The following is a 26,299-nucleotide window of genomic DNA, read 5'->3' as shown; positions in this document are numbered from 1 at the left end:
GTTTTGTCACCTATCATGGTCTATCTTGGACAGTGTTCCATGTGCTGAGGAAAAGAATGTATATTCTGCAGTTGCTGGGTAGAATGTTCTGTAAATATCTGCTATGTCCATTTGTTCTAGGGGATAGTTTAAGTCCATTGTTTCTTTGTTGACTTTCTGTCTTGATGACCTGTTTAGTGCTGTCTGTCAGTGGAGTATTGAATTCCCCTACTATTATTGTGTTGCCATCTCATTTCTTAAGTCTAGTAGTAATTGTTTTATGAATTTGGGAGCTCCAATGTTAAGTGCATATATATTTAGGATTGTGATATTTTCCTGTTGGACTGATCCTTTTATTATTATACAATGCCCACTTTCTCTCTTTTTTTGTTGTTTTAAAGTCTCTTTTGTCTGATGTAAGAATAGCTACTCATGCTTGCTTTTGGTTTCCAGTTGGATGGAATGTATTTTTCCACCCCTTTGCCTTAAGTTTATGAGTCTTTATGTGTTAGGTGGGTCTCTTGAAGACAGCAGATACTTGGTTGGTGGATTTTTATCCATTCTGCCATTCTGTATCTTTTAAGTGTAGCATTTAGGCCATTTACATTCAATATTAGTATTAAGATGTGAGGCACTTTTCTATTCATTATGCTAGTTGTTGCCTAAATACCTTTTTCCCCCATTGCGTGTGTGTTTGTGTGTGTGTGTGTGTGTGTGTGTGTGTTTTGTAGGCCCTGTGAGATTTATGTTTTAAGAAGGTTCTATTTTGGTGTATTTCAAGGTTTTGTTTCAAGATTTAGAACTCCTTTTAGCATTTGTTGTAGTGCTGGTTTGGCACTGGTGAATTCTCTCAGCATTTGTTTGTCTGAAAAAGATTTTTTCTCGTCTTCATTTATGAAGCTTAGTTTTTCTGGATACAAAATTCTTGGCTGACAATCATTTTGTTTCAGGGGGCTAAAATATAGGACCCTAATCCCTTCTGGCTTTTAAGGTTTCTGCTGAGAAATCACTGTTAATCTGATAGGTTTTCCTTTATAGGTTACCTGATCCTTTTGTCTCACTGCTCTTAAGATTCTTCTTTCATCTTGACTTTAGATAACCTGATGACTGTGTGCCTAGGTGATGATCTTTTTTGTGATGCATTTTCCAGGTGTTCTTTGAGTTTCTTTTATTTGGATATCTAGATCTCTAGCAACACCAGGGAAGTTTTTCTCAATTATTTCCTCAAATAAGTTTTCCAGACTTTTAGATTTCTCTTCTTTCTCAAGAACACCAATTATTCTTAGGTTTGGCCATTTATCATAATCTCGCATTTCTTGGAGGCTTGTTCATTTTTTAAAAAATATTTTTTCTTTGTCTCTGTCAGATTGAGTTAATTTGAAAGCCCTGTCTTTGAGCTCTTTATTTCTTTCTTCTACTTGTTCTATTGTTGAAACTTTCCGGTGCATTTTGTATTTCTCTAAGTGTCTTTCATTTCCAGAAATTGTGATTGTTTTTTCCTTATGACATTTATTTCTCTGGAGAATTTTTCATCCATATCTTGTATTGTTTTTTAGATTTCTTTAAGTTGGTTTTCAAGTTTCTCTGGTATATCCTTGAGTAGCTTAATAATCAACCTTCTGAATTCTTTTTCTGGCAATTCAGAGATTTCGTCTTGGTTTGGATCCATTGCTAGGGAGCTAGTGTGATCTTTTGGGAGTGTTATAGAACCCTGTTTTGTCATATTACCAGAATTACTTTTCTGGTTTCTTCTCATTTGGGTAGACTATTTTGGTGGAAAGATCTAGAACTCAAGGCCTGCTGTTCAGATTCTTTTGTGCCATGGGGTCATCCCTTGATGTGGGACACTCCCACTTTCCCGTGGGACGGAGCTTCCTGAGAGCTGGACTGCAGTGATTGTTATTGTTCTTCTGGGCCTATCCACTCAGCGGGTCCACCAGGCTCTAGGCTGATGCTGGAGAATGTCTGCAAGAGTCTCATGATGTGATTCATCTTCAGGTCTCCAAACCATGGATACCAGCACCTGCTCTGGTGGAGGAGGCAGGGAGTGAAATAGACTGTGAGAGTCCTTGGTTGTAGATATGCTTAGTGTGCTGGCTTTCTTGAATGCTGGTTATGCCAGCAGTGAAGTTGTCACGTGGACAGACTCAGGACCTCTGGTTAGCCAGGATGTTGCAGACAGTGGAATTAGCTGTTTTCTCCTTCCTGGGAACAGGGTTATTCTGTAATGAGTTGCTATAATGGCCTGAGTTGGTTGGCCTCTAGCCAGGAGGTGGTGGTTTCAAGAGAACACCAGCTGTGGTAGTAGAAGGGGGCTATAAGCTTGTCTTAAGTTGGCCAGGATAAGTATTCAGGCTTCTTGGATGATGGGTGAGGCCATAAAGCTCCCAAGAATTTATGTCTTTTGTAATCAGTTATCAGGGTGGGTAGAGAAATACCGTGGTGGCATTGGGCAGGGATAGGTGGGTCTAGGCTCAGACTCTCCTTGGGTAGGGCTTGCCACTGCCATTGTGCAGGATGAGGGGGTGGTTCTCAGGCCAATGGGGTTACGTTCCAGAAGGGATTATGGCTGCCTCTGCTGTGTCATCTAGTTCACCAGGGAAGTGGGAGATAGCTGGTAGTGAGAGGCCTCCCCAGCTCCCATGTAGTTGGTGAGGCTGGTCTCACTCCTGTGTGCCCCACTCAGCCCTTGCCCCAGGCTGTAAACTTCCCCACTAAGAAAGTAAGCACAAGTTTGAGGTCTTACCCCTCCACGTCTGCCCACATCGTTGGTGGCAGCTCCTGCACTCATATCTGCAGCAGTTCCCATTCACCCACTGGATTCTGCTCAATAAAATTCGTGCCTAGTAAAAATTATTACAAATTTCAGTTGGAAGCTTCTTTCACTCTGTTTAAGCCCTCCCTAATTCTGCTGTCTGCCTTCCCTGAGGGCTCCTGTGAGATGTAGTCGGGGATAGCTTTCCTGGGCTTGAGCTGGAGACTGGGAATGCCTATAAGGCTCTTCCCACTGTTGCTTCTACTTTTGTATTTTCTGTGGCTCCCTAAATGTTTCAGCTCTAGGTAGGGTTAAATCCTTCTTCTGTGATCTGGATTTTCAGATTCTCCAGTGGGGATGTGTGTTCAGAGGTAAGTTTTCCCCCTTTCACACATTGAGAACTCACAATTTTTTGCCTGTCTTGCAGAATTTGCAGTGGTGTGCTGCTTCTTTCAAAGGATTTGTAAATTCTTTTGGCTTGCCTGGCATGTTCCTGTGGTGGTCCTTGGAGCAAAAGTCCATGGTGAGTCTCCACACTATTCTGTCTGTCCAAGTGGGAGCTGCATGTTAGCCCTGTCTCCTATCCACCATCTTCCTCCAGATCTACTTGTTTTTTTTTAGTGACTAATAAACACCTTTGTGGTGATTAAAAAAAATGAGATTTATTAATTTATAAATGGATGATGCGTTTATCTTCACTTATCTGAGTTAACAGATCAGACAAAGATTTGCAAAATGATCATTGATGTATTACATTTTTGGTTATTACTTTTTCTGACAATTTTTTTTTTTTTTTTTTGAGATGAGTCTTTTTCTGTCACCCAGGCTGGAGTGCAGTGGCACGATCTTGGCTTACCATAGCCTCTGCCTCCCAGGCTCAAGTGATCTTCCCAACTCAGCCTCCTGAGTAGCTTGGACTACAGCTGTGTGCCACCAAGCCTGGCTTTTTTTTTTTTTTTTTGTAGAGACAGGATTTTGCCATGTTTTCCAGGCTGGTCTCAAACTCCTGGGCTCAAGTGATCTGCCCACTTCAGCCTCCCCAAGTGCTGGGTTTATAGGTATGAGCCACCGTGGATGGCCTCTGACACTTGTTTTTAACTGACCTTTTCCTTTTGGTTGTGCTTTTGAATCCTGTTCTCTCTCTCTCCCCTTAACACTTACAGGCTCCATCGGGTGGTCAATGGTCCTCCCCGTCCTGTGGCTGTTTTGAGATGTTACTCCAATTAACTTTTTCTAATCTTTGGATTCTTCTGTTTAACTAGCTGTGCTGGTTTCACAGTCCTTGGGGACAAATTACAAAAGGCTCTTCATAACCCATATTTACATGACTTCCTAGTGTCACTGTAAAGCCCCCACTGCCGAGCCTCGCCCAGGTGTCTATGTACTTTCAGGCCCTGCACACCCCCCGACACACTCTCCACCCTCTAATTCAGCATGTCTTCTTGTTCTCTCCAGCAGGGATACTGGAAAGTTCCTTTTCTTTCCCCTTCCTCTCCAAAGCCCTCCCAGCTTCAAATGCTGCAATAGGTGTTGCTACTCTGTACTGCCCGAGCACCCTATCCCCACCTCTTCATTGCACTGCACTGTGATTCTCTACTCATACTTCCAAATCCAGCACTGCCCAGTAAGCTTCAAGGGGATCATGTCCTATTCACCCCTGTAACCACAGGGTCTGCCACAGAGATAGCAGGTGCTCTGTAAGTATCTGTGGCATGAATAATAGTGAAAGAACAAATGAATGAAACAGGGAGAGTGGAAAGGGGAGAGGTGTTGTTTTTAATTACAGCTTTATTCAGATGTAATTTACCCTTGCAAAGTATATAACTCAGTGGTTTTCATTATCACTTATTTTTGGATCATCCAATTTTAAAGATTACCTTAATTATTGAATTGAAAATTTACAAAAACTTGGTTTATTCTGAAAGACTTTATTAAAAGCGTTTCTATTGTAAGAACACAAAATATTTTAAGCCAGTAACAACATTTAAATTAAAAAGATATAAACATGTCAAAGGAATGAAACCTAGATGTTTTATTATGTGTGAATTATGAGCGCTTACCTGGCCTTGTGTATAACGTATAAACCTTCACCTGTTGCATGTCATTCAGTCTCTGCAGCAACATTCCTTGTGTCCATGTGGGTGTTTCTATGTGTGACTGTGAATATCTGTATGTAAATGGCTTGTCTCTTGGGTGCATTTGTGGGGGTGGGTATCCACCGCTATTATCATTGCTTTCTTTTTCAGAAAGTGTTTCCAATCTTTGCTTCATTTTACTCAACAGAAATGAGGAGGTTGGTTTATATTTCATGTCTTTTCTCTTTCAGATACAGCTGGTCATGCCACAGATAGTGAAGAAGAATAAAACTGTGAAAAATAAAGGATGTATTTAGAATGCCACATTCTGCTGAAAATCAAACTGACAGACACTAGGGCAGGCCCTGAGTTAAGGTGGATACAAAGGAACCCAAGGCATGCCTCTCCCAGCACCAGACTTCTGAACAGGCTGGGAGAGTGAGGCATAAACACATGAAATTTTAATACCAGACAGACATAGATAAGTATAAAACATGAGATAATAAAAAACAGGGTAATGGCTTTCAAGTGATTCAAGATATGTGACCTTATTTTCCTAACTATAAATTATAATTGATTGTCAGACAAGCAGATGCACTTATGAAAAGTAGAAACAAAAGATCTGACCCTGGGGCAATGTCAGAAGTTCTTGGGCACGTGACTGCTGTAGGTGTTAAGCTGAGCACTCGGAGGTCAACGGAAAAAGTAAGCACTGCAAACTGGAGTTTTTGGAAAGTCTTCACTTATTCCATGGAGAGGCAAAGCTGACCGTATCTGGTTAGGTGGAGACAAGGGCACTGCAGGACCTAAGGAGAGCATAAGGCAAGTTTGGAGAAGAGAGGACCTGTGGTGGATGTGGAACTTAAGTAGGAACATGCCTGGGGAGAAGAATTAGGATGATGACATTACAGAGGGCCACACTAATGCTCAGAGAAAACTAAAGACATTCTTCAGAAAGACACAAGAAACTCCTATGTCAGCAATCAGAAATTATGGAAAAATTGAGAAGGCCCCCAGGAATGGTGCTCCATGAAGACTTACATGGCAGCAGTATGGGTTGCAGGCTGGTTTGGAGGTGTTAGAACCTTTAGGCAGGAGAGGGTGAGGTGTGGGTGAAAAGAGCTGAGGAGCATTTCAAGAGAAACGTTATCAGAAAAGGACTCTGCTTCAACAGGAGAGTGCAGGTGACACCGAATTCCACATCAGACCTGTGGACACTTGAGGTAATGGCAGGACCGTCCTGGTAGGAGGCAGGGGACCTGGCAGAGAGGGGAAGCTGGAGGTATGAGGCCTGGAAGGAAAGTACACAGTTACGTGCACAGTGAAGGGAAGGAAGAGGGCTGAGGACAGAATCCTGGCACAGGCAAAGAAGTCAGTGAAGAAAGATCTAATGGGAAGGGACTGGGTGGCCTGTTTCAGCAGGAGCCAAAAGCCAGAGGTTTCTGGAGCAGAGCTAAGGGAGGAGGAGGACTCAGAAAACAAGGAGGAATTGGCTTCCTTGTGTATTTTTTTGTTTTTGAGACAGGATCTTGTTCTGTCACCCAGGCTGGAGTGCAGTGGCACAATCACAGCTCACTGCAGCCTTAACTTCATGGGCTCAAGCAATCATCCTACCTCAGCTTCCTGAGTAGTTGGGAGTACAGGTGTACGCCACCATGCCCAGCTATTGTTTTTTTTTTTTTTCCTGTAAAGATGGGGTCTCACTATGTTGCCCAGGCTGGTCTTGATCTCCTGGGCTCAAGCCATCTTCCTGACTCGGCCTCCCAAAGTGCTGGGATTACAGAAATGAGCCACTGTGCCCTGCTCTCCTTGTGAATTTTAGGAGCATAGGTTCAAGAGACTCTGGGTGAAAGTATGTTTTACAAAGAGGAAAGGCAGTGAAGAAACAGGGGAAGCAGGCTTACATCAACTGTTCTGGAATGAAGAGCTGTGCATAGGCAGAGGGGAGAGAGCTGCTATACAGGAGAGAGGATCAATGAAGCAGCGATATGTCTGAAGACCCAAAAAGGTGGATTAGCTGGGCATGAAGAGAGATTGAGGCAACAGGAGTGGAGGATGGCATGTTAGGAGAGGCAGAGAAGCTTTACAGCCGCTACTTGCAAGGAGGATGTAACAGCGAGGAGGGAGAGACCAAAGCGCAGCCTCAACTCTCCCTGACGGGGGTCTGTGTCCCTCTGCTCCAGTGTTTTCCTCACTCTCTGGCCCAGCCTTCCAGGATCCTGCCTAAGGTCCTGCTTCCTAACACAGAGGCTGCCATCCACAGTCTGGCTGTGACTGGAGGGAGGGGAACACCCACAGGTCAGAAACAGCCCCAGAGAGGAAGCTGAGCACAACATGAGATAGGAAGGAGAGAAGGAGGAAAGAATGAGGAAGACCGAAGACGAACTGACGTGAAGAGGGAAGCTTAAGGAACTTGTGAAGGTCTCAATTCTCAGCAAAGTCAGAGCAGACAAAGGGGACGACCAGAACAGAACAATCGAGGTATGGCCCTCTGATGGGAGGGTCACTGGAGGTGACTATGAAGGCACAGGAGCAGCATGACATCTTCTGAGGTTCTGTGCACTGGCAGAGGTGGCTGCTCAGGAAACACTGCGAGGCTCTCTAGGAGACAGGTGGCAAGACTCACCCAAACAGCCTTAGCAAAGCACGTATGATGGAAGGCAAAAGGCTGATGGATGTCAAGGTACTAACAGAGAAGAGCACAACACAGCCTATAGGTTCCAGGTGTGGTTAAAAAAGAGGCAAGGCAGGTCAGAAGTAGCGAAAATGAGAGGTCAAGAGACTAAGAGGTGAGAAAGGCAGCAAAAACCTGGCATGGGGGAAGGGAGGGTGGAGAATGGTTGGGAAGGGTAGGAGACAGTTTTAGAGTCTGCAATCCTAGTAGAATGGGTGGGAGTGGAGGTGTTAGAAAAATTGTGAGGATAGGACCCTAGAAGCAACAAAAACATGGATGTTGATGTCCCAGAGGGTGACAAAAGGAACTAAAGTGAAGACCCCTGGGGGCCATGTAGTAAAGTCCTTGAGGAAGATGAGGGTGACCTAGAGGCAGTTAGACGCTAGAGAATGGGTTATGTAAGGGCACCGACTTCTTTTACAATGACATCTGTCTTATTTGAGAAGGCTACATGTCTGAATGCATGAACACTACATGCTTTCAGTACCTCTTCAGAAGTCCTGAGATTTAAAGATGGCATAATCACTTCCAACATCCCATTCCATACTCTGGAAGAAGTAGACCATGATGCTTTCCAGCAGTAAGCCACTCAACACGGCCAAGAAGGAGAGCTTACGGTTGATGTTTAGGGTCACTGGAAAGGAGAAGGCAGCCAATAAGTTCAGAATTAATGAAACGATATTGACATGTAAATTTTCGGGTAGTATGAATTGTTTTGTAAAGCTGTTTTTGGAAAAATCAATGTTTGTTCTTATTAATCTATGCTGTTACCTTCTCCCACTTTTCCATCTACACATTTTTAGAGAACCAAAGCCTCTACTTACAACAAAACACTGAGCCCCTTCTCCTCATATCAAGCGGCAGATTCCCGTGAATATCAAAGGAGAAAACAAAAAATTCTAACGCTATAAGAGAATAACGACAACAACAACAAAATGATACTTTCAGTGTCACAGTTTGCAAGATGACAAGCATTCTGATAAAAAGTATCAGGTAATAAGTTCATTTAAAATAGGACTTCGGCCAGGCACAGCGGCTCATGCTTGTTCCCAGCACTTTGGGATGCCAAGGTGGACAGACTGCTCGAGCCCAGGAGTTCAAGACCAGGCTGGCAACATGTCGAAACCCTGTCTCTACAAAAATTTAGCAGGGTGTGGTGGCATATACCTGTGGCCAGCTTTTCAGGAGGCTGAGTTGGGAGGATCACTTGACCTCAGGAAGTAGAGGCTGTAGTGAGTTCTGATCACATCACTGCACTCTAGCCTGGGTGACCAAGTGACACCCTATCTCAAAAAAATAAATAAAATAAAAATAAATAAAATAGCACTATGTAAAATATATGGGAAAAATGAAGACACACAGGGCTGCTCTTCCTGATATAGTAGAAATTGTCCTGGATTGAGAGGCAGATACTCAGCATTCTCTCCTGACTTGATAACTGCCCAGCCATGTAACGTCGGACAAGCCACTTAACCCTCAGAGCCCCAGGAGCTCATTCATAAAATCAAATAATGGCAGTTCTACTAACCTCACAGGACAGAGATGATGCATATGAGAGCATTTTGAAAACTATAAAGTACTATATGGTTAAATGTAACAAACACTGAGTACCTGCTATGTATAAGGTGCTATAGAAGTGTTAGGTATTATTACTATGCGATGAAGAATTCCAGTGTTCAACAGGTTATATAAAAACTGCACCCCAGAAACAAGGCTTTAAGCTTTTTATGGGTTGAAAACTGAGAAGGCAGAATAAACACATAAACATACCTCTAATTGCCTGAAAATTTGATGTAAGAACAAATACTTTAATGAGTTTGAGGCACACAGATGTGTAGTCATGTTCCCAAATGACAGCTGGAATCAGCAAGAGTTTTCCGTAGCTAGATAATAATAATGCTTTCAGCAGCAAAATGAAGTTGGGCTTTTTTTTTGCCGTCATGGGCCGTTCTACCCACAGGAAGGTAAAAATGCCAATAAAATAGGCAGTTTGTTCTAAAGAAGAAATGGAAAATAAAAGTATGAATGTCCCCATCCAAAATATATCCCCTTAAAAACAAATAAACCACCATTCTAAAATACAGCTTATCAGCTGACTTCATAAGAAATACTTTCTCAAGATCACAATCTCTTTTTCTTCTTCTTTTTGTTTGTGTGTTGTTTTTTTTTTTTAAATAAACCCCTGGCTTTTGTATTAGATCCTGCTGGTATAATTTCAGAAACATTATCCACTGAAGAAAAAGTAACTCCATTAGAATTGTAATCATCAACTTTCTGAAGTTCCTTGAAGGAAGTAAGATTCTGCTTAAACATCTTCAGTGTAAGAGATCTCCAAAGAATAAAACAGGAGAATGCAGGCTTTTCAGTCTGAAAGATGGGACCTATCGTAAGAATGGGATAACACAGGAAGACATTTTTCTCTGTGCATTCTTCCACTATTTAAGTGCCTATTATCCACATGATTTTTTAATATTGTTAACTGAGACTTCCTTTACTCATTTTAACAACATTTTAAAATGCAATTCCTTACACTTCCAGAAAGTATTCATAGGACAGAGTCCAGATTAACAGCAGCAATAGTTCCACTGTGTCCTATGGTCAGAACACAGCACAATCTGTTCAGCTTCTATTAACTAGGAATTTAACATCTCTTTTAACTGTGCTGTAATTTTTATTAGGATTGTTAGTCATCCGATTACCCAACTGTATCCATTCTGAGTGGCCAGTCCCTTATTTTATTTTTTCCCATATAAGCTATGTTATTAGCAGTTTAGGTTTCTGCAGAATCAGGTTTCTCTGGACACATGTATTATATTACAGCAGAAACAACTATCCTCTTTTTTAAACTTAATAAAGCCAAACTAAAGAGGTTCCAAATGTAGGTAATTAGGATCAATAAAAATAATTTAGGGGCTGGGCATGGTGGCTCATGCCTGTAATCCCAGCACTTTGGGAGGCCGAGGCAGGCGGATCACAAGGTCAGGAGATTGAGATCATCCTGGCTAACACGGTGAAACCCCGTCTCTACTAAAAATACAAAAAACAATTAGCCGGGAGTGGTGGCAGGCGCCTGTAGTCCCAGCTACTCGGGAGGCTGACGCAGGAGAATGGCGTGAACCCGGGAGGCGGAGCTTGCAGTGAGCCGAGATTGTGCCACTGCACTCCAGTCTGGGCGACAGAGCGAGACTCCGTCTCAAAAAAAAAAAAAAAAAAATTAGGATGGTTAACCTCCATGAAATATGATGTATTCTTCAAGGGAGACATGCTATCTCCCTTCAAAATAACTAAAAGACTTGTCAGCTACAAGAATGTACTCAGGTAGATTGTAAAGCTTGGATTTTGGATAAAAATAACAATAAATAATTCCTTGAATGAATAAATAGTGAAAGAATAGCGAATAACAAGAACCATCTAACAATGGTGGGTTGACTCCTGTCACTGGAGACACTCAAAGCTACAGCATCTCTCAGGAGTCTAGACAGAAAGATTTCTTGCGCCACACAGGCTAGACTAGATAACCTCCACATCTTTTAAATTTAGGATTTACGAGATTTATGGAACTACACCAGCCCTCAGGCTCTCATCAATCAGGTCAGTTCAGAAGGAGCTGCTACCTACGTATAGAATACTCCAGTGTGGAAAACACTGAAGGGGGTCGGGAGACTTTCCTCAGTTTCAGCACTAGTGACCCACTGTGAGACTTCGGGAAAATCTATGCATCTATGTTTCTGCAGCTATAGATGGGGGAACCCCTAACCTACCTACCTCAGAGGATGATTGTGAAAATTAAATAATTCCTGTAAAAGCAGTTTTTAAATTATAAAATGCTTTATTTATGTAAGATATTCTTTTAGTTTTTTGAGACAGAGTCTGTCTTGGTCATCCAGGCAAAAGTGCAGTGGCATGAACATGACTCACTGCAGCTTTGACCTCCTGGGCTCAAGCGATCCTCCTGTCTCTGCCCCTCAAGTAGCTAGGACTACAGGCACATGCCACCATGCCCAGCTAATTTTTGTATTTTTTGTAGAGACAGAATATTGCCATGTTGCCCAGGCTGGTTTCCAACTTCCGAGCTCAAGTAATCCACCTGTCTTGGCCTCCCAAAGTGCTGGGATTACAGGTGTGAGGTACCACGCCCGGCCAAGATATTCTTTTGGACTATACAGTCTAATTAGGGATTAGACTAAGACACATAAAAAAGTTAAGTAATAGTAGAAAGAAACTTCTGATTAAGCATCAAAATATCTACTACAGAGTAGTTGCTATAAGAATTCCAACCCATTTAAAAACAAGCCTGGTTTTTAATAGTATATACAAAATATGGACATATAACAGTTTATCTTTAGAAATTTTAAGAAGGGCCAGGAACAGTGGCTGATGCCTGCAGTCTCAGCACTTTGGGAGGCCCATATGGGAGGACTGTTTGAGCCCAGGAGTTCAAGACCAACCTGGACAACAGAGTAAGATACTGCCTTTACATAAATTTTTTTTTTTAAATTAGCCAGGCACAGTAGCATGTACCTGTAGTTCCAGCTACTCAGGAGACGGAGGCAGGGGGATCCCTTGAGCCCAGGAGCTCCAGGCTGCAGTGAGCTATGACTGTGCCACTGCACCCTAGCCTCGGTGACAGAGCAAGACCTTCACTCTTAAAAAAATAAAAATTAAAAAAAATTTTTAAGAGGCTTTGCTTTAAGGTTTAAAATCATATTAGGTTCTAGTTCTTGGGCTAGATGATGTGCTCAAGGATGTTTTCAGTAGTATTATGTTTCATAAGATAAAAAGGTTAACATATTCTTTTGTATATTTCAAATATTTTAAATTGTTGCAAAGTCCAAATTGTATACAAAATTATCGATAGACTGGACATCATGGCGGTTAAGCTGTCATAAGCCTTAGTAATTACATAATAATGGAGGCGGAGATTTTTCTATGTATTTTCCATGGATATATCTCTAGTACCTAAAGTACCTAAAGTAGTAACTGGCACCTAATAAGTATTTAAAAATATTTCTTAAGGGAATGAATAATAATGAATAGTGAATGAATAATCACCGAGTGTAACTGATGGTGACTTGCTCAAGTTAAGAGTGCGTGGATGAATGTATGCAATCATTCATTCAATCAGCTGAGCAAATATTTATTAAGCACCTGGGCCAGGCACCTAAGTGCTTGAGCTACAACCGTGACTAACACAAAGAGCCCTGACCTCATTCAGTTGACATGTTAGTGGGGAAAGGCACTAACAAAAGATAATAACTTCTGTGATATGTTAAATAGTAAGTACCATAAGAAAAACAAAGTAGAGCCGGAACAGGAGATCAGGAGTGTCAGAGGTACACTTCATTTAGAAAGTGTCATTTTAGCCAACTCTTGAGGGGTATGCAGGAGTCAGACATCTGGGCATCAGGGGGACAGGCATTCCGGGCACAGGAAGAGCCACTTCAAAGGCCTTAAGGTGGAAGCTCATCCAGTGTTTCTGAAGCAAGTTAACTAGATGGGGAGGGTCAGAGTAGACATGGGAGATGACAGCTGTGGATAAAATGAGAGACGCAGTGGGAGGGGCAGATTCCAGTACAAGGCCCACTGTAAAGACTTCAGCTTGCACTCTGAGTGAAACGGGGAGCTACTGTGTTCTAGCACAACAGTGACATGATCTGATTTGGTTGAAAAGGACTACTCTGTGTTGCGTGCAAATACACAGTTGGAGAACTGGGCTAGCAAACAAGGAGGCTACTGTAGTCATGCAGGTGAAGGATGAGAGTGGCCTGCAACAGTGTGGCAGCCGTGGAGGGAATGGAGGGTAGCAGTAGTATAATAGTAGAAGTGTGGCTGGGCGCAGTGGCTCATGCCTGTAATCCCAGCACTTTGGGAGGCAGAGGCGGACGGATCACGAGGTCAGAAGTTCGAGACCAGCCTGACCAACATGGTGAAGCCGTCTCTACTAAAAATACAAAAATTAGCTAAGCATGGTGGCACGTGCCTGTAATCCCAGCTACTCGGGAGGCTAAGGCAGGAGAACTGCTTGAACCCAGGAGGCAGAGGTTGCAGTGAGTCAAGACCGCGCCACTGCACTCCAGCCTGGGCGACAGAGTGAGACTCCGTCTCAAAAAAAAAAAAAAAAAAGTAGAAGTACTTTGAAGGTGGAGCCAATGGGATTTCCTGATGACCTGACTATGGGGTATCAAAGAAAGAGGCATCAGGGATGACTGCAAGGTTTTCTGGTGAATGCAACTAAAAGAATGGAGTTACAACTGAGAAGGAGAAGGCTGTGGTAGAGGCAGAGAGATGAGGAGCTCAATTATGGGTATGGTGATTTATTAGATATCCAAGTGGTGATGTTGAGAAGGCAGAGGGATGCAGAGTCTGGAGGTCTGGAGAAAGGTCTAGATGGACATTTGAGAGTTCTCAGCAGACAGGTTACATGACCAAGAGAGCGAGAGCAGACAGAGAAAAAAAGAGGACAAAAGAAGACACACAGCCCAGAAATGTGATATTGGAGTGGACTGGAGACTTAGTATTACTAAAGTAAGATTTCATTATAATCAAAGAGTTGAGAAGCAGAGAAGCATGGAACTAGCAATAAAATAGTCACAGAAATTAGCTCAACACAATTCTGACACTAGGAAAACAATAACTTATGAAGTGAAATTCTGAAAAGCACTTCCTGAACTTAAGGAATTTTGAGGAGTAGCCAAATTCCCTGCATGCACTCAGATAAGTAACAAGTAACAAAAAATACCAAACCCTATTAAATACACTGCATTAGTATAATGCAATTAGTACAATACATTGGGTAATGTCTGGCAATTATCTCTATTAATAAAGATAGGACTTAGCTAACTTTCAGATTGGATAATCAAAACTTAAACATTAAGAATTTTATTGGCCAGGCACAGTGGCTCACACCTGTAATCCCAGCACTTTGGGAGGCTGAGGTGGGAGGACTGCTTGAGTTCAGGAGTTCAAGACCAGCCTGGGCAACACGGAAAGACCCCCCATCTCAACAAAAAAATACAAAAATTAGCTGGAGGTGGTGCATGGTGTGGTGGTGCATACCTGTGGTTCCAGCTACCTGGGGGGGCCGAGGCAGGAGGATTGCTTGAGCCCAGGAGTTCAGGGCTGCAGTGAGCTGTGACTGTGCCACTGCACTCCAGCCTAGGCAACAGAGTGAGACCCTGTCTTAAAAAATATATAATAATAAAAATAAAAGAATTTTATCAACAATATTGTGCTTCGAAATATTTTATGAAACTTTCTAATCCGATAAGCATAACTACTTCCATACCATATACGTGGTAACAAATTTTTAAAAAGCAGGTGATTCAAACACACTCACCTCGTAGGTTAGTAGTGGTAGAGCTGAAAATTTCATCTTAAGTCCCATATTAACTAGCTCTTCTTACCAACAATTAAGACTACATGTCTTAGTTTTAACCAGATTAGTTAAGTAAGAATAGTTAACTAAGAATGGAAAGCATGGCATCTCCTTACCTAAAGCAGCAATCGCAAACATTCTATAGAAATCCCATTCCTTAGCATATCTGATCAAGTCATCAGGGGCAGTATTCTGGTTGGAATCTTGAAGCTGCCACCACCTCAGGTATGCTTCACAAAGCAAACAAAATATGCAGAGTTTTCCATGGATCTGATAGTCAAAGACATTGCCATTCAATTAGGTAAGGAAACCCAGTTGCACTAGTATCAACAGGTACAGAGTATTTGTGGCATCCCACCTAGTCACTTTTCAAATTCAGGACTGCCCAATTAAGTGGCTAATTGTAGTCATTTTGTAATCAGTGAGTTTTAATCAGCAATGTCCATCAGAAGCACATGGGGAGATTTTTTTCAAAATTTAAATGTCTGAGCCCAGGTCCTGATTGAGAATCTTCATAGTACAACATAGACATCATACTTTGAAACAGTTCTGGGGGGATTCTAATGTGCACCCCTAGTTAAGAATCACTGCTTTAAATAATAGTTCACCTTTCATTATACATTTTTGATTTCTGTCCTTTATACAGAATCAAGCAAAAAACTTATGTGATTCATGTATATGTGGGAACAGCAATAAGAGAATAGACTTAATCTGAAGATTCCATGATATTGAATAAGAAACTATTAGTCTGAACATCAGTTTTTTAAAAATATCTCCAGCTGGATGAGTATGACTCAATATGTTAAAAGAGAACAATTAAAACCTAATTCTTAAAAGTCTGAAATTTTGGCTAAAATAAAAAATACTAGGCAACAAAAATTGGCTTTTTTCTATGTATTCCTCCTTCAGGTTGAACTTTCTCCATCAATATAAAGTGAGGAAGAGCTGGGCACAGTAGCTCATGCCTGTAATCCCAATACTTTGGGAGGCTGAGGTGGGAGGATCACTTGAGGTCAGGAATTCCAGACTAGCCTGGTCAACATGGCGAACCTCATCTCTACTAGAAATACAAAAATTAGCTGGGCTTGGTGATGCGTGCCTGTAATCCCAGCTACTTGGGAGGCTGAGGCAGTAGAACACTTGAACCCAGGAGGTAGAGGCTGCAGTGAGCCGAGATCACGCCACTGCACTTCAGCCTGGGTGACAGAGCAAGACTCCGTCTCAAAAATAAATAAATAAATAAAATAACAGGACCGCCAGTTAAATTTGAGTTTCACACACACCATGAATCCATTTTTATTGTATAAGTATGTTCCATGCAATATTTGGGACATTCTTATACTAAAAAATTAATTCATGGTATATATGAAATTCAAATTTAATTGACTGTCCTGTATGTTATCTGTCAACTCTACCCAAACTATTAAAGAGCTCACAATTCAATAAACTAAAAGTTTATTTTGAAAAATTCAACTTTATAAATCAGGACTTTGATTAAACTGAATGTTATTTACCTTATACATTCCTTTAATAGCAAAGTATAAAATGCAATAAATTATGTTTTAAAAAAACATTTTTCTTTTAATGTTTGCTTAACTCATTTAGGTATAATTCTCTCCCTACCTGGATATGTCTAATTGTATTCTGTTAAAAACCAGTGATGATTGTTTCAATTTACTAGCAGGTAATTCAGATCATGGCTTGTCAGTTTCCTGCCAGTGACCATATTCTTAAACACTCACTAAGCATTGTGCACCTTTCAAAATCAACATCTATTATTTCTAGAAACTTCCAGATATGTTGCAATAAAAGACCCACTCTCACATTAGAATTTCTTTTCCTCTTTTATAATATTCTTTACTTCTGTTTAAAATTCTTATTATTCTTTTAAAATGTAACAGCATCAAATAAAATTAAAAAATGAAATTATCACAACTTACATTTATTTGAGTATTGAAAAGAATATGTCTGTAGGCCTGAGCTTTGCACAATATAGCATTAATCAAGATGATAACAGGATCATACTCGATATATTTGTCTACAGGTTTCTGGCAGGATTTCTGAAATAATACAAGATAATATTAGAACAAGCAAATGTATACTTTCTGAAATCCTCAAGGATTTCAAAACAGCAGAGTCTATTTTGGACACAGATAGCAATATGGCCATATTAGCAATTATTTATATAAACTTCCATTCAGATACAAAATGTTCATCTATATAAGAAAGGGTTTCAGAAAGGACTAAATATAATCTTCTAGGCTAGGAATATTAATATTTTAACGTCATATTCAAGAAGCTAAAAATATATCTAATTTAAAGACTGAGTTTAGGCAGGAAAGTATTCCAGAAGATTTTACTTTCAATCTACAGAGACTCTATGTCCAATTCCACTTTCAATTTGTAGCAATTATTACAAAATAAATATATTTATAATGCACTTTCATTGATAAATTGTTGCCTCTTGGCTAGATGCCCCTGACTTTATGGTTCTTGGCACATGATTTGGAGAAAAGTACTCAGCAGTTACCTTGTCCCCAGAACTACTGAGAGCTGCAAGTAGGTAAAGAATGGGGCATGATCCGAATGATCCTGAGGTGGCCGGTAACAGGGGAAGCCTGGGTTTTTCTCCAGTAACATCAAGGATATGGAAAGAAAATGGTCTTTCTCTGCTAGAGTAGAGACAGACTCTACTGTCTGTACAGTCTGGAGAGTGCTGGGCTGTGCAAGGAACTAGGCTGTGCAGCCTAGCTCTAGGTTCCAGAATCAAGGCTCCCTTGGCTCTTAGCAGTTCACATTAAATGGCTTTATTCCCCCCTGAAGGGTCACCAATTTTGAGTTCAGATTCTCTAGACACATGTGATTACAATGTTACCAAATTCCAACATCACTAGAACATAAAAAACGCAGGTATACACAAACAAGCTCATTAGAAATGTGACCTCTAAAGCAGTACTATTCACAAAAATGCATCAATGCTACCATTCACTTTATAAAACTACAGCAGTCCTCCCGTAGCCACAGTTTTGCTTTCTGCAGTTTGTAACCCGAGGTCAACAGCATTCTGAAAATATGAAATGGAAAAATCCAGAAATAAGCATAAGTTTTAAATTGCATGCTGTCCTGCTCCACTGTCCGGGATGTGAATCATCCCTTTGTCTAGCGTGTCCACGTTGCAGATGCTCCCCGCCTGTTAGTCATCTAGTCGCTGTCCAGGTTAACAGGATTGAGGATTGCAGTACTGCAGTGCTTGTGGTTCAAGTCACCCTTCTTTGACTTAATAATAGCCCCAAAGCATGAGAGTAGTGATGCTGGCAATTTTACAGCCAAAGAGAAGCTGTAAAATCCTTTAAGTGAAAAGGTGAAAGTTCTCAACTAATAAGGAAAAAACCAATCTTATGCTGAGGTTAAGATCTACAGTAAGAATGAATCTTCTACCTGTGCAACTGTAAAGAAAAGAAATTGTGCTAGTTTTGCTGTGGCATTTCAAACTGCAAAAATTAAGGCCACAGTATGTGAGAAGTGCTAAGATGGAAAAGGCAGGGCCAGGTGCCATGGTTCACATCTGTGATACCAGCACTTTGGGAGTCCGAGGTGAGAGGATCGCTTGAAGCCAGAAGTTCGAGCCCATCCTGGGCAACAAAGCAAGACCCTGTCTCGGTCTCTCTCTCTCAAAAAAAAAAAAAAAAAAAAAAAAAAAAAAAAAAAAAATAGGAAAAGTATTACATTTGTGGGTGGAAGGCACGAACAGAAACGTGTTCCGATGGATGGTAATTGGGTTCCATACTATCTGTGGTTTCAGGCACTCACTGTGGGTCCTGGAACATATACCCCAAAGAGAACGGGGACTACTGGAATGGCTACAATTCAAACGCATAACATTTGGAAACTCTGAGAAGATAAAATAGAAGAGTTGCGAGTGTAAAAACCTTCTAGGCTGGCCTTTTAATTACATTAAAGTGCTGGAAGAAAAATGAAGGGCACTGAAGAATACCGACCCTGCAATTCAAATGTAATAAAACATTGGATGTGTTCCCAATTTAAATAGCTTCTCCACTTCATTTGTGTCATTACAAGAATAGGTATGTTTTCCAGTTACCGAGTGATCCAATGAAGGGAGACGTGCTGTTACCTCAAACTTAAATGTGCTTAATCAGGGCCAGGCATGGTGGCTCATGCCTGTAATCCCAGCACTTTTGGGAGTCCGAGGCAGGTGGATCACGAGGTCAGGAAATCGAGACCATCCTGGCTAACATGGTGAAACCCCATCTCTACTAAAAAAAAAATACAAAAAGATTAGGAGGGCGTGGTGGCAGGTGCCTGTAGTCCCAGCAACTACAGGATGAGGCAGGAGAATGGGGCGTGAACCCAGGAGGCGGAGCTTACAGTGAGCTGAGTTCACGCCACTGCACTCCAGCCTGGGCAACACAGCAAGATTCCGTCTCAAAAAAAAAAAAATTCTGCTTAATCAAACTGACGCATAAGGAGTTAATATTTTTGCAGTTCTTTACCTGAGCAGGGAGTAAGCCAGAATCTAAACAGAAGCCCCAGAATCAGAAATTCCATGTCCATGACAAACAGCTGTTTGATAGGTCTCCCTTGGCTACTCACATGGAACACATCTCCTTCCTTTCTACATGCAAGACTGGGACACCAGAGAGGCTGCTTCATGTTAAAATGGAAACCCTAAAAAGTCAGGGGTCCTCTCTCTGTCCTTTAAATATTCTCTAAAACCCGTTTTTGGACAGCATCACAAGTCTAAGGCTGGGGATCTGGACAATACTTGGAAGGAGGTAGGCAGAAACCAGCACCAGGAGACACAGCAGCTGTTATTCCTTTTGCATTCATTTGTTTGACAAATGTCTTTGGAGTGGCTATTACATGTATAACAATCGTTCTCTTTTCTTGGCCATTTTATGGACCAGGAACTTCCAAGGTGCTAGATATTCACCTTCAGCCACAGTTTCTATCCTCAAGGATCTAACAGTTTAGAAGCAGAAGACAAACATGCCTCTATGATATGGTCTCATGACCACAGTCATCAGACTATGTAACATCCAACGGCTACAATGGGATAAGCACAGGGTGATATGAAATCAAACAGAGGAGGCAGCTTCTGGTAGTATGTGATATGCTGTGTGCTTTGCCCATTTCCCTTCTTAGCATTCGGCATGTTTTATAAATGCTGAGAAGTCATTAAAGTTTGCTGGTTCCCTCTCAGTCAGTTTGAAACGCCTAACCTTGTTTTTACTCTAACTCGTTACTTTGAATTTTGTCCTGCTTGTCTCTTTAATCACCTAGCTTTGCTTCTCATGTAAGTAAGACTCTCTCTAGCTGGGAAGGCCGGACAAACTCCAATTGACCTCTTAATTTACAAGACACTAAGGGCTCATTACCCAACCCCCTTCCGTAAGGAGTTGGCCTGGGTAAACAGATAATCAGCATTTCAAAAAAGCCCAATTAACTGATAAGGTACTAACACCAACAATGTATGAAGTTCCCAGGATTTTTCTCAAAGAGATAACAACATAAAACCTTGAGTTCGTGTCCGGCATAGACCCTATATCTAATTATAATGAAGGATTTAGAACCTTGCACCTGGTACCGTTGCTCTTCTTGTAACCATTTGTCTTTTAAGTTGTTTATCTCTCTGTAACCATTTTGCTTCTTTTGATTCTTGCATGTTTTTACTTCTGTAGAATTATTGCATTTGAGTCCCCCTCCCCTTCCTAAACCTAGATATAAAAGTTAATCAAGCCCCTTCCGAGAGAATTTTGAGCATTAGTTGTCTCTTTGGCCGCCGGCTTAATAAAGGACTCTTAATTCGTCTCAAAGTGTGGCGTTCTCTCTAACACCCCTGGGCACAACAAGTTTACACCTCACTTTCCTTGTTCTCCCTCTATTATTTGCTTTTCCCTTAAGTGCTGCTTGCAACTTCCTTTCCCTCTGCCTTCACCTTGAATGTGAAGAGGAAAACTACACACACACACACACACACACACACACACACACACACGCACACACACACACACACACGAAACAAACAAATGTAGACATCCCAAAGCAGACCACTGGGAGTTGTATTTATTCAATTTAGTATATATGTTTCTTTTCTTTTCTTTCCTTTTTGAGACAAGGTCTCACTCTGTCGCCTAGGCCTGGAGTGCAGTGGCAGGATCTTGTCCCACTACAGCCTCTGCTTCCCTGGCTCAAGTGATCCTCCCACCTCAACCTCCTGAGTAGTTGGGGCTACAGGCGCGTGCCACCATGCCCAGCTGATTTTTGTAGTTTAGTATAGATGGGTGGGGGACAGGGGGTGGTCTCACCATGTTGCCCAGGCTGGTCTTGAACTACTGACCTCAAGTGATCTGCGATTTAGCCTCCCACAGTGCTGGGATTATAGGTGTGAATCATCACGCCTGCCCAGATTTAGCAACTATGTTTCCTATGTTTCTTATTTTGGCAAAATTGTTTCATTTACTACTTTATAGGCAAGTATCCTGAAAAGAGAAAAATCTTCCTCTAAAGAATCCCTACAACGCAAGGACCAAGCATACTCTGGGAATTCAGGCTGCTTCCATCACCTGTCTAAACATGGATATGACTTCCTCTGTCCTGCTGTGTTCTCCAATGCCTAATGAATCAGATCTCTTTTAGAATATAAATCGGCCAAACCAATTTTTTTCATAAATATTCCTGCTGTTTCCTTCCTGTCATCTCTAGGAGCATTCCCTTCCCTTCTTTAAGTCTTTAAGCTCCTCAAGGGTAGGGCTGTGTCTTATTCATCTTTGCATCTAGGATCCCAAGGGTGGGAGCCGAATGCTGTAGTGCTGAAGGAAATGGAAACTTAGGAGACTCTTATAGGAGTTTTGTTTTGTTAACATAATAATGAATTTGTTAAATATCTGTGCACTTAAAATAAGCCAAGCCCTATAGCAAATAAAAAGTACTTTTTTTTTTTTTTTTTGAGACGGAGTCTCACTCTGTCATCCAGGCTGGAGTGCAGTGGCGCAATCTCAGCTTCACTGCAACCTCTGCCTCCCGGGTTCAAGAGATTCTCCTGCCTCAGCCTCCCGAGTAGCTGGGATTACAAGAGTGCGCCACCACGCCTGGCTAATTTTTGTATTTTTAGAGAGATGGGGTTTCACCGTGTTGGTCAGGCTGGTCTTGAACTCCTGACCTCGTGCTCCGCCTGCCTTGGCCTCCCAAAGTACTGGGATTACAGGCATGAGCCACCGTGCTAGGCCGAAAGTACTGTATCTTTAAGCGTACTTATAATAAATTGTGAAGAGCTGAAGCAGCAGGATTGGTTAAAAGCAAGGGACACATGATATATTAGAGGAAAGTCAGAGAAACACAGAAAGGCAAGCTGGGAGGAATGGCAGTGAAGAAACAAGCAGAGCAAAAGGAAAGGAGATTGGGATGAAAAATACACGTGGGCGATCAGGCTGAGGATCTTGCTGACTCCAAGTTCGGCAGGGAAGAGACCAAAGTATATATGAGTAACCACTTAGAAACTCTGGAGATTATGTCACAACACATGGTCTAATGTTTAAAAACTTCTTACTTTTTGTATCTCAGAGGTTGGAGGGCCTTTAAAATAATTCATTGCTTCATGGTTTAATTTTTTAGTCTGGCATCAACAAAATGATTTTCCCTGAGTCGTGCTATTATGGCCTAAAGTTTAGTATGCATTAGCATGATAGCGACAAGGCCATTAGACACTCTGTCTCATTATGGAATGACTGTGGACAATAACGAATCCATAAAGTACTGTGCCACCATTCAATATTCCAAATATAACTCCAAAGTCCATCTCTTGGGAGAAAGAGTATCATGTTAGGGAACAAAGGGGAGGGGGTAAGTGAATGTTGACCTAAACAGCTATCCAATAATTATTTTGCCTTTCCATAAACAAAATAAACACCTGCTGTTTAGCAAAGGGATTTTGTTAGCTTAATGCCAACAAAAAGAGATTTTTTGTATTATTGAAGACTACTAACTAAAATGCATATACAAATACCAGCTTTTCTTCAGACCATATTCAGTTATGTGGTTATCATCTTCCAAACTGACCATTTAATTGGACCAGTCCAAAAGTTATTAAGTTTAGACCACATATAAGATCTTGTTCTCTTCCTCCTACCTGGATGGCCAAGCATATGCTAATCTAAAAACCTGGAAGTGATACATTTATTCAACAGACATTTACTGAGTGGCTACTAAATGTCAGTCGCTGTTCTGGGTGATACAGCTACATTAATGAATAAAACAGAGAGAATGTCTGTCCTTGTGTAGCTTACTTTCCAGTAGGAGAAGACACACAACATTAAGTCAATTATATACAAGATTACAAGAAGATAGGTGCTATAGAGAAAGATAAAGCTGGGAAGCATATCATACTTTTCAATAGGGTAGTCAGAGTAGACTCTCTGAGATGTTTGAAGGAGGTAAGGGAATTAGTCACGCAGATACCTGATAGAAGAGTGCTCCAGGCATTGTGCAAAGGCCTTGAGGAAGGAACCTGCCTGGTCTGAGAAACACCAGGATGCCAGCGGGACTGCCGGTAAAATAAAGAAGGGAAAGAGTAGCAGGAGACTCCATAGGGCCTTATAAGCCAGTTCAGGGATTCAGGCCTTAACTCTGAGATGGAAAATCATCAGAAAGTTTTGGTCAAAGAGATGATATGATCTAAATTACATTTTTAAAGGATCAGTCCCTGGCTACTGTGTGGAGAGAAGACTGAAGAGGTACAAGGATGATGTAGGGAGACCAGATAGGAGTTACAACAATAGTTCAGGTAGACATCATGGTGGCTTGGATGAGGATTGTAGCAGCAGGAGTAGTGAGAAGTAGTGGATTCTGAACATAATTTGAAGACAGAACAGGATTTGCTGAATACCTGAATATGGGATGTGAGAGGAAGAGTAGAAATAGGGATGACACCAAGGTTTCTTGGTCTTAGGAGTTAAAATGGTAAAGTTGCCATTAACTGTGATGGGTATATTTGAGCTGTCTATTGAAATCCAAGTGGAGAAGTCAAGTAGGTAGTTGGACATTTAAGTCTGGAGTTCAGGGAAGAGGTTCAGGGTAGAAATATAAATTTGGAAATTGTCAAAATTTTGACGGTATTTAAAGCCATGAGACAGAATGAGCTCTTCAAGGGAAAGCATGCAGACAGAAAGAGGCACGATGACTATGCGTTGGAATACACCATGATTAAGAGGTAAGGGAGGTGAAGCAAAAGCAGAAAGGAGATTGAGGGGTAACAGCCAGTGAAGTAAGAAGACAATAAGAAGAGCACTGAATCCTGGGAAGCGCACACAGCATTTCAAGGAGGAGGAAGTAATGAGGTAAAATGCTGCTGATCATTAACTGAGAATCGACTACTGGATTTAGCAAAGTGGAAGTGGTGATCTTAACAAGAACAGTTTCTAATGAAATGCGGGTGGGAATGTGACTAAAGCAGGTTCAAGAGAAACTAGGAAAGGAAATAGACAGTACAAACATATCTTAGAAGGTCTGCTTTCTAATTAAGAAGAAAAAGAGCAGAAGCTAAAGGGGGAAGTGGCAGCAAGTGTATTTTGTTGGTGGTGTTGGTTTTTTTTTTTTTTTTGATGGAAGAAGTAACAGTATGCATGCTGGTGGGAATGATCCAGCAGAAGGCAGAAGAAGACAGTACAGTAAAGAAATAACAAATGCTAGTATTGGGTTTATGTTGTTGCAAACCTGGTGGAAGTTCTCTTCTGTTTTCGCAGTGGCTCATGCCTGTAACCCCAGCACTTTGGGAGGCCGAGGTGGGTGGATCATTTGAGGTCAGTTCAAGACCAGCCTGGTCAACATGGTGAAACCTGGTCTCTACTAAAAATACAAAAATTAGCCCGGCGTGGTGGTGCAGGCCTGTAATCCCAGCTACTTGGGAGGCTGAGGCAGGAGAATTGCTTGAACTTGGGAGGCAGAGGTTTTAGTGAGCTGAGAGTGCCCCACTGCACTCCAGCCTGGGTGACAGAGGGAAACTCTATCTCAAAAAGAAAGAAAGAAAGAAAAAAAAAACCGAAATAAGATTGCCAGAAATCATGAAAGGCCTATATGAGGTTAATCGTCACAAATTTGTTTTTCCCCAGCAACGTACTGCTGCATGGGTACAGGGACAAGACCAGGCAATATGTTGGATTTAACAAGGGTTGACATTTTGACAAAAGAGGGAAAGTACTTGAGAGAGGAACAGGAAATTGAGGTTGTATGCATCAGAACGTTATGTGGTTGGCAGATTATACAGGTATACACTCAGTTTGTCAATTCTCTTGTATATTACTACAGACCATAATTTACTAAAGAGATTAGAAAATCACAAGATCTGAAATGGGACAAAAATGTACTGTCTATTCTGTGACAGGTTCTTTGCTAATTAATACCCCCAAAGAACCTCCAACTTTGTAGACTCTTTAAACATAAGATTATTCTCTCTGCCGTAAAATAAAGAAGGGAAAGAGTAGCAGGAGACTCCATAGGGCCTTATAAGCCAGTTCAGGGATTCGGGCCTTAACTCTGAGATGGAAAATCATCAGAAAGTTCAAGGTATTCTACGAACACCTTGAAATGAGAATTTTTACTTCCTCACTTTTGGGTTTTGTACCACCAACGTCTAGCATAGTGCTTTGTACACCGTAGACATCCAATAACGACAATTGATGAAACCTTTAAAAAGCATCGTAGGTGAATTCAACATGGGTTGTGGAGGGTAAGGATGGTACCATCTCTCTGTCAAAGGGAGAAGAGCTAGAAGGAAGTAGCTTTGGCATGAACCAAAATGTCAACCTAATTGATCTTTAAATTTCTCTGCAAAATGCCCACATCTACCTCTGTCTGTCGGTCCGGTCCGTTCGCCGGCTTAGGTCATATCACCCAAATATGCCCCAGTATGAGAAAAGCGCTGTCGGGTAGCTGAGTTCTCTATCAGTACAGATATTCATGCAAAGATCCCGGGCGGGAATGTCAACTACCGAACTAAAGACTGTATCAGAGGACCCTGCTCCTCGCGGTCCCCAAATCCCGCCGCGCCATTTTCTTCTCAAGGGCACCCCACACCTGACAACTCACACAGATGGTTATCTTCAGCACACCGTGGTTATAGTCTCGGTACAACTCTTTGGCCTCCTGGTTGCATTCGATGCACCTGTACTGGCAGGAGGCCGAGGCAGCAGTAGGAGTCGCTGCCACCCCATCCACGTTCCCCTTCCCCTGCTGCAGGCCGCTCCGCCCGCCGTTGCCCATTTCCACTCAACTGCAGTCCAGAACTTCCGATTCTGTGGAGGGTAAGACGTCAGACGCCAGACCGGAAGACTTGCGCCGCGCGGGCTTATTGGGATTCGTAGTCCCGGCACCGGCAAGGCGGCCCCGGGCTGGCCGAGCTGGGACTACCATTCCCAGCACACAATGCT

General features: G+C 41.8%; 1 protein-coding gene across 6 annotated transcripts, besides 1 other annotated feature; it reads right to left on the bottom strand.

Annotated features, from left to right (window-relative positions):
• Positions 4,505 to 26,144, bottom strand: ARV1 (ARV1 fatty acid homeostasis modulator). Of its 6 annotated transcripts, none has more exons than XR_002957381.2 (8): positions 25,959 to 26,144; positions 16,799 to 16,918; positions 14,975 to 15,128; positions 14,540 to 14,662; positions 9,254 to 9,478; positions 7,971 to 8,117; positions 5,437 to 5,615; positions 4,505 to 5,100 (listed from the first exon to the last, which is right to left on the bottom strand). XR_002957381.2 is itself a non-coding variant. In XM_024449202.2 (7 exons), exons 1-6 carry the CDS (start codon positions 26,130 to 26,132, stop codon positions 7,975 to 7,977), a joined length of 939 nt encoding a protein of 312 aa, XP_024304970.1. In that variant the 5' UTR covers positions 26,133 to 26,144; the 3' UTR covers positions 4,505 to 5,100; positions 7,971 to 7,974. The 6 variants fall into 6 exon arrangements, 3 of the variants coding, with proteins under 3 accessions (XP_024304970.1, NP_001333921.1, NP_073623.1); XR_007063028.1 differs by having other exon boundaries at positions 14,540 to 14,638; NR_144538.2 differs by lacking the exon at positions 14,540 to 14,662.
• Positions 25,913 to 26,212: an enhancer, noted in NCBI's record as "active region_2721". NCBI's record gives its function as "activates an Ori minimal core promoter by ATAC-STARR-seq in GM12878 lymphoblastoid cells {active_cell/tissue: GM12878}" and the evidence as "EXISTENCE:reporter gene assay evidence [ECO:0000049][PMID:35858748]".

The sequence above is a fragment of the Homo sapiens genome, chromosome 1, assembly GCF_000001405.40.
Source record: "Homo sapiens chromosome 1, GRCh38.p14 Primary Assembly".
Taxonomy (NCBI): domain Eukaryota; kingdom Metazoa; phylum Chordata; class Mammalia; order Primates; family Hominidae; genus Homo; species Homo sapiens.
This window is presented reverse-complemented; position numbering and strand designations above follow the sequence as displayed.

Excerpts from the sequence above, each read along its gene's own strand:
- ARV1 (XM_024449202.2), bottom strand. The coding sequence starts at position 26,132 with ATGGGCAACGGCGGGCGGAGCGGCCTGCAGCAGGGGAAGGGGAACGTG. Across the intron at positions 16,919-25,958 it reads TGCTGAAGATAACCATCTGT|AAATCCTGCCAGAAACCTGT; the intron begins GTGAGTTGTCAG and ends GTATTATTTCAG. Across the intron at positions 8,118-9,253 it reads AAATTTTCAGGCAATTAGAG|TGACCCTAAACATCAACCGT; the intron begins GTATGTTTATGT and ends TCTCCTTTCCAG.